Source organism: Homo sapiens, chromosome 9, assembly GCF_000001405.40.
Source record: "Homo sapiens chromosome 9, GRCh38.p14 Primary Assembly".
Classification (NCBI taxonomy): Eukaryota; Metazoa; Chordata; class Mammalia; order Primates; family Hominidae; genus Homo; species Homo sapiens.
In genome coordinates this window covers 7,715,451-7,722,841 of record NC_000009.12, presented here as the reverse complement: position 1 = coordinate 7,722,841, position 7,391 = coordinate 7,715,451, and the positions used below count along the sequence as shown (strand labels likewise).

The 7,391-nt window shown below is 39.3% G+C and overlaps 1 long non-coding RNA gene across 1 annotated transcript in view; it reads right to left on the bottom strand.

The window, feature by feature from the left end:
- Window positions 1-741: 741 nt before the first annotated feature.
- LOC124902118 (uncharacterized) overlaps window positions 742-7,391 on the bottom strand; it is a 65,144-nt gene continuing 58,494 nt past the window's right edge. The window contains exon 3 of the long non-coding RNA XR_007061415.1: window positions 742-838. This is a non-coding gene — a long non-coding RNA (uncharacterized LOC124902118). The remainder of the gene's footprint in view (window positions 839-7,391) is intronic.

The following is a 7,391-nucleotide window of genomic DNA, read 5'->3' as shown; positions in this document are numbered from 1 at the left end:
ACATAGAGGGGAATAACACACACTGAGGTCTATTGGAGGATAAAGGGTGGGAGGAGGGAGGGAACTAGGAAAAATAACTAATGGATACTAGGCTTAATACACGGGCGATGAAATAATCTGTACAACCAACCCCCATGACACACATTTACCTATGTAACAAGTTTGCACATCCTGCACGTGTACTCCTGAACTTAAAATAACAGTAAAAAAAAAAAAAAAAAAAATCCTGCCTCCAGCCATCATCAACTAGATGCCCTTCAGTAAATTCTTCATTATTTCTGAGGTTAATTGTTGTAACATCTCAGATTGATGTTGAGTATTAAATTTTTAAAAAGCTTGAACAGGGTCTGGGTTTTAGTGCTCAATCAAGGTTAGCTATTATTATTATTATTAAACAAAGAAATAAACATGTATAACTCATAAAAATCAAGATCAGGAGAAGCTGTGTACTTATTTTTTTATTGCATAGTTACTTTGGGGATGCAATGAAAATTTATCAGGACTCAGAAATTGACATTAGTTTTGTCAGCTACAAAATAATTCTGTTTTCACTGAAACTTCACTGAAGTTATTTTTCCATCCATTCAATGGCTCTTTATTGAGGCAATGGCGTTTCCGAGCCTTCATGCAACTTTCCGTTTTCATATAAGTCATTCATTTACTTTTTATTAACAACTTTATTGATTCTAGGGAGTTTTCTGAGAAAGACAGGCAAACCAAGAGAATAGCTCTTATATTTACCTTAATGCTCAAAACAGCATTCAGCCATCCATTTATTTATCCACTCAGAAGACCTTTGTAAAGCACCTCTTCTGTTCCAGGTCCTGTCTACAAAGACCTAGAAAGGAGGGAGAAGGGCAAAAAGAAACAGATTATTATGAATCTATGGGCTTATTATTTTATAAGTCAATATGAAGACAAAATATCATTATAGATAAACTCAATAAGGCAAAGTTGGAAGACTGAGCTTAAGAGCTCAGCCTTGGAAAAGAGACAGATATACACACATATGCAACTGACCACAACAGGAGGCAATAGCTTCCACTTCAAATGGTCTCTGCTCTCCTGTCTGCTTGCCATAAACTTGGCATGGGCCTCTAATACTCTGTGGTGAAACCTACAGTATTCTGCCTTTCTTCTGTGACCCTTTCAGATGTCTAAGGTTAAGCGGAGGCAGGTTTCCTAGTTACACAGATGGAACACTTCCTAGGAAAGCCCCCAACGTTTCCACTGCAAAGGTGGAGACAGCATTTATCCTTCAATTGAGGAACTTTGGTGCTGAAATAATGCTGAGGGCACAGGTGTGAGAGCATGTAAAACAGGGTCTGGCAGCTGGAGATCATTAGTAAGCCCACAGCAGCTCTGTCAAGAGACAAGGTTAACACCCTGTTAATCAGATTAATCCTATCCCAGTCATGCAGTTTTGAATCCCTTGAAATGTTACTTGGCTCTTCTTTTCATCCTTTGACATCATGGTTGACAAAACTGTAGCCATGGCCTTGGAGGTAGGTATGGTCCCTTCTTCTTGGTAGGCCCTTTTACTCTAGAGGTCCACATCAGCAGATGGGCCTGAGACACCATTTGAACCTCTGAATAGAATCAGATCCATGGAAGATTAGGGCTCAAAGCAACCTGCCACTAATAACAGTAATAGGTTTATGGGTCTGCATGTCTTCAGCTCAGATACTTTCTCCTGTCCATATGATGCATCAGCAATTAGCTGGAAGCCCTAGAGTGATTCCAATATGATGATTTTCAGTGATCTGCCATTTTGGACTATTCATATCAATATTTGCATTGAGTGAAATAATGGAGGGATGACAAATAGGCTTTCTTTGGAAGGCCTGAAAATACTCCCTAGTGATAATCCAATTGGTTCTTTTTTCTCTGATACGTAGATCTGTGGCTGTCTTCTGGACAGAGACAATCTTTTCAGACCTGAAGGTGCATGGTCCAGAGCAGTGGTTCTCAAATTCTGGACCCCAAACCAGCAACATCAGCAGCACCTAGGAACTTGTCAGAAATGCCAACTGTTGGTCCCATCCAGACTTTTACAACAGAAACTGGTGGTGGGGCCCAGCCATCTGTGTTTTAATGAGCCTCCTGTGAGATTATAATGCACACTGGAGGTTTAGAGCCGCTGGCCCAGAAAAAGCAGTGCTTCAAAGGTAGGACTGCACCTCATCTTGGAAATGGTCAATGGGCGTGTATATAGTTACAATGTAACAATGCAAAAGAATTTTTATTACTCTAAAATGTGAGCAATTTTTTCTCAAGGAGCAATTTACTCACAGACAAAAATCAGAAGTGTGTGCGTGAAATGTAGTGCTTAGCAAAAACCTGACTAGATTCCTCTCATATGACAGGCTTGCAGTGCCACAAGCAGTGCTGGCAAGTACAGTGTGTGGCTTAGAACTTTAAAGGAAAAAAAAACGTAGTTTATTAATTTTGAAACTAATTAAGGTACAAAAATATAGTATCCCAAACTGTATAAGACATAGGAAGAAAACAGCCCATAAACACCAGATTGGGGACAAATGCTGTAAGAATATCAGATATCACATTTTCACACCACCCCAACTCACTATCAAATCCCGCAGCAGGGTACTACAGAAAAATTGCCTGTCAACAGACTGAAATGAATAGTATGTGATCCCTGGTATAATTTCCTTGGAATTCAATTTATACTAAGTGCACAAAGAGCCAAGGATGGGCGTGGGAATTAGAACACAGAATGGTCATATACATGAGAAAAATTAAATCCTGCAGCTTCCAAAAGGGAATCACCCATGGTCTTGCCCCTCATGGCAGAAGTACCTCTGGCTAAAATTCCTATCCTGCAATTCAGTCAAGTCCTCAGGGGTAGAGATAGCAAGTGGCTGCCCCACGTGCTGCAAACTCAGGCTTAAACTCAGGGCCAATCGCCAGGCTTTCTCTGCCTCAACCAATATTGCTTGGTTATCATTTGTAGCCAATGTGATCTGTCTAAGGAGGTGTTAAATCTCACTGCAAATTAGGATATGTTTATTTCTCTCTTAATTTCTAGCAATGTGTTTGTGGCAGACACTCTGGGTTGTCTGTACTGCAGACATTTCCCCTCTATTTCTTGTTAAGAAAATCTGATTTGGTTTGTGTTGTAAGGATAAATTGAAAGAATTTTAAGTGGATCAAAAGACTATGAGGGACTTTCTATTGAAAACTAAGTGTTGTTTGGAGCTTACTCTTCCACCTATCTACTTTGTGTTATTTGTGCCTTTCATCATCTTTGAGCTATTTTACAATCCTGCCGAGACAGACATTAATTTGTAGAAAACTGGTGAAAGACAAATATTTCTTGTTTATAAATATACACATAAATTATATTCAATTGAGGTTCAATTGACTTTCTTTCCCCACAGTAAAAAGAAGCTAACTTTACATTGATTAAATAAATTCATTTCAGCAATCATCTTTTTTTTTTCATTTTTCACTCTGTTGCCCAGGCTGGAGTGCAGTGCTGTGATCTCGGCTCACTGCTACCTCCACCTCCTGGGTTCAAGCAATTATCCCGCCTCAGCCTCCCAAATAGCTGGGATTGCAGGTGTGCGCCCACCATGCCCGGGTAATTTTTGTATTTTTAGTAGCGATGGGGTTTCACCATGTTGGCCAGGCTGGTCTCGAACTCCTGACCTCAAGGTACCCACCCACCTCAGCCTCCCAAAATGCTGGGATTACAGGCATGAGCCACGGTGCCTGGCCCAAGCAATCATCTTCTGTATTTGTTTGTTTGTTCTTTCGATTATTTAAAAATATATATATTTTTTAATTTTTTTTATTATACTTTAAGTGCTAGGGTAAATGGGTACAATGTACAGGTTTGATACATAGGTATGCATGTGCCACGTTGGTTTGCTGCCCCCATCAACTCATCATTTACATTAGGTATTTCTCCTAATGCTATCCCCCAACAGGCCCCGGTGTATGATATTCCCCACCCTGTGTCCAAGGGATCTCATTGTTCAGTTCCCACCTATGGGTGAGAACATGCAGTGTTTAGCTTTCTGTCCTTGTGACAGTTTGCTGAGAATGATGGTTTCTAGCTTCATCCATGTCCCTGCAAAGGACATGAACTCATTCTTTTTAATGGGTGCATAGTATTCCATGGAGTATATGTGCCACATTTTCTTAATCCAGTCTATCATTGATGGACATTTGGGTTGGTTCCAAGTCTTTGCTATTGTGAATAGTGCAGTAATAAACATATGTGTGCATGTGTCTTTATGGTAGCATGATTTATAATCCTTTGGGTATATACCCAGTAATGGGATTGCTGGGTCAAATAGTAATTCTAGTTCTAGATCCTTGAGGAATTGCCACACTGTCTTCCACAATGGATGAACTAATTTACACTCCCATCAACAGTATAAAAGTGTTCCTATTTCTCCACATCCTCTCCAGCATCTGTTGTTTCCTGACTTTTTAATGATCTCCATTCTAACTGGTGTGAGATGGTACCTCACTGTGGTTTTGATTTCCATTTTTCTGATGACCAGTGATGATGAGCATTTTTTCATGTGTCTGTTGGCTGCATAGATGTCTTCTTTTGAGAAGTGTCTGTTCATATCCTTTGCCCACTTTTGATGGGGTTGTTTTATTCTTGCAAATTTGAGTATTTGGTGATTTTGGATATTAGCTTTTTGTCAGATGGGTAGATTGCAAAAATTTTCTCCCATTCTGTAGGTTGCCCGTTCACTCTGATGGTAGTTTCTTTTGCCATGCAGAAGCTCTTTAGTTTAATTAGATCCCATTTGTCTATTTTGGCTTTTGTTGCCACTGCTTTTGGTGTTTTAGTCATGAAGTCCTTGCCCATGCCTATGTCCTGAATGGCATTGCCTAGGTTTTCTTCTAGAGTTTTTATGGTTTTAGGTCTAACATTTAAGTCTTTAATCCATCTTGAATTAATTTTTGTATGAGGTATAAGGAAGGGGTCCAGTTTCAGCTTTCTACATACGGCTAGCCAGTTGTCCCAATGCAATTTATTAAATAAGGAATCCTTTCCCCATTTCTTGTTTTTGTCAGGTTTGTCAAAGATCAGATGGTTGTAGATGTGTGGTGTTATTTCTGAGGCCTCTGTTCTGTTCCATTGGTCTATATCTCTGTTTTGGTACCAGTACCATGCTGTCTTGGTACCAGTACCATGCTGTTTTGGTTAGTGTAGCCTTGTGGTATAGTTTGAAATCAGGTAGCGTGATGCCTCCAGCTTTGTTCTTTTTCCTTAGGATTCTCTTGGCAATGCGGGCTCTTTTTTGGTACCATATGACTTTAAAGTAGTCTTTTCCAATTCTGTGAAGAAAGTCATTGGTAGCTTGATGGGGATGGCATTGAATCTATAAATTACTTTGGGCAGTATGACCATTTTCACGATATTGATTCTTCCTATCCTTGAGCATGGAATATTCTTCCATTTGTTTGTGTCCTCTTTTATTTCCTTGAGCAGTGGTTTTTAGTTCTCCTTGAAGTGGTCCTTCATATCCTTCACAAGTTGGATTCCTAGGTATTTTATTCTTTTGTAGTAACTGTGAATGGGAGCTCACTCATGATTTGGCTGTCTGTCTGTTCTTGGTGTATAGGAATGCTTGTGATTTTTGCACATTGATTTTGTATCCTGAGACTTTGCTAAAGTTGCTTATCAGCTTAAGGAGATTTTGGGCTGAGAAGATGGGGTTTTCTAAATATATAATCATGTCATCTGCAAACAGAGACAATTTGACTTCCTCTTTTCCTAATTGAATACCCATTATTTCTTTCTCTTGCCTGATTGCCCTGGCCAGAACTTCCAATACTATGTTGAATAGGAGTGGTGAGAGAGGGCGTCCCTGCCTCGTGCTGGTTTTCAAAGGGAATGCTTCCAGTTTTTACCCCTTCAGTATGATATTGGCTGTGAGTTTGTCATAAATAGCTCTTATTAGTTTGAGATATGTTCCATCGACACCTTGTTGATTGAGAGCTTTTAGCATGAATTTTGTCAAAGGCCTTTTCTGCATCTATTGAGATAATCATGTGGTTTTTGTTGCTGGTTCTGTTTATGTGATGCATTACGTTTATTGGTTTGCATATGTTGAACCAGCCTTGCATCCCAGGGATGAAGCTGACTTGATCTTGGTGGATAAGCTTTTTGATGTGCTGCTGGATTCGGTTTGCCAGTATTTTATTGAGGATTTTCGCATCAATGTTCATCAGGGATATTGGTCTAAAATTCTCTTTTTTTTGTTGTTGTGTCTCTGCCCGGCTTTGGTATCAGGATGATGCTGGCATCATAAAATGACTTAGGGAAAATTCTCCCTTTTTCTATTGATTAGAATAGTTTTAGAAGGAATGGTACCAGCTCCTCTTTGTACCTCTGATAGAATTCGGCTGTGAATCCGTCTGGTCCTGGATGTTTTTTGGTTGGTGGGCTATTAATTACTGCCTCAATTTCAGAACCTGTTATTGGTCTATTCAGGGGTTCGACTTCTTCCTGGTTTAGTCTCGGGGGGTGTATGTGTCCAGGAATTTATCCATTTCTTCTAGATTTTATAGTTTATTTGTATAGAGGTGTTTATAGTATTCTCTGATGGTAGTTTGTATTTCTGTGGGATCGGTGGTGTAATCCCCTTTATCATTTTTTGTTGCGTCTATTTGATTCTTCTCTCACTTCTTTTTTATTATTCTTGCTAGCACTCTATCAATTTTGTTGATCTTTTCAAAAAACCAGCTCCTGGATTCATTGATTTTTTGAAAGGTTTTTTGTGTCTCTATCTCTCAGTTCTGCTCTGTTCTTAGTTATTTCTTGCCTTCTGCTAGCTTTTGAATTTGTTTGCTCTTGATTCTCTAGTTCTTTTAATTGTGATGTTAGGGTGTCGATTTCAGATCTTTCCTGCTTTCTCTTGTGGGCATTTCGTGCTATAAATTTCCCTCTCCACACTGCTTTAATGTGTCCCAGAGATTCTGGTATGTTGTGTCTTTGTTCTCATTGGTTTCAAAGAACATCTTTATTTCTGCCTTCATTTCATTATTTACCCAGTAGTCATTCAGGAGCAAGTTGTTCTGTTTCCATGTAGTTGTGCAGTTTTGAGTGAGTTTCTTAATGCTGAGTTGTAATTTATTGCACTGTGGTCTGAGAGACAGTTTGTTGTGATTTCTGTTCTTTTATATTTACTGAGGAGTGCTTTACTTCCATTTATGTGATTAATTTTAGAATAAGTGTGATGTAATGCTCAGAAGAATGTATATTCTCTTGAGTTGAGGTGGAGAGTTCTGTAGATGTCTATTCGGTCTGCTTAGTGCAGAGCTAAGTTCAAGTCCTGGATATCCTTGTTAACCTTCTGTCTCGTTAATCTGTCTAATATTGACAGTGGGGTGTTAAAGTCTCC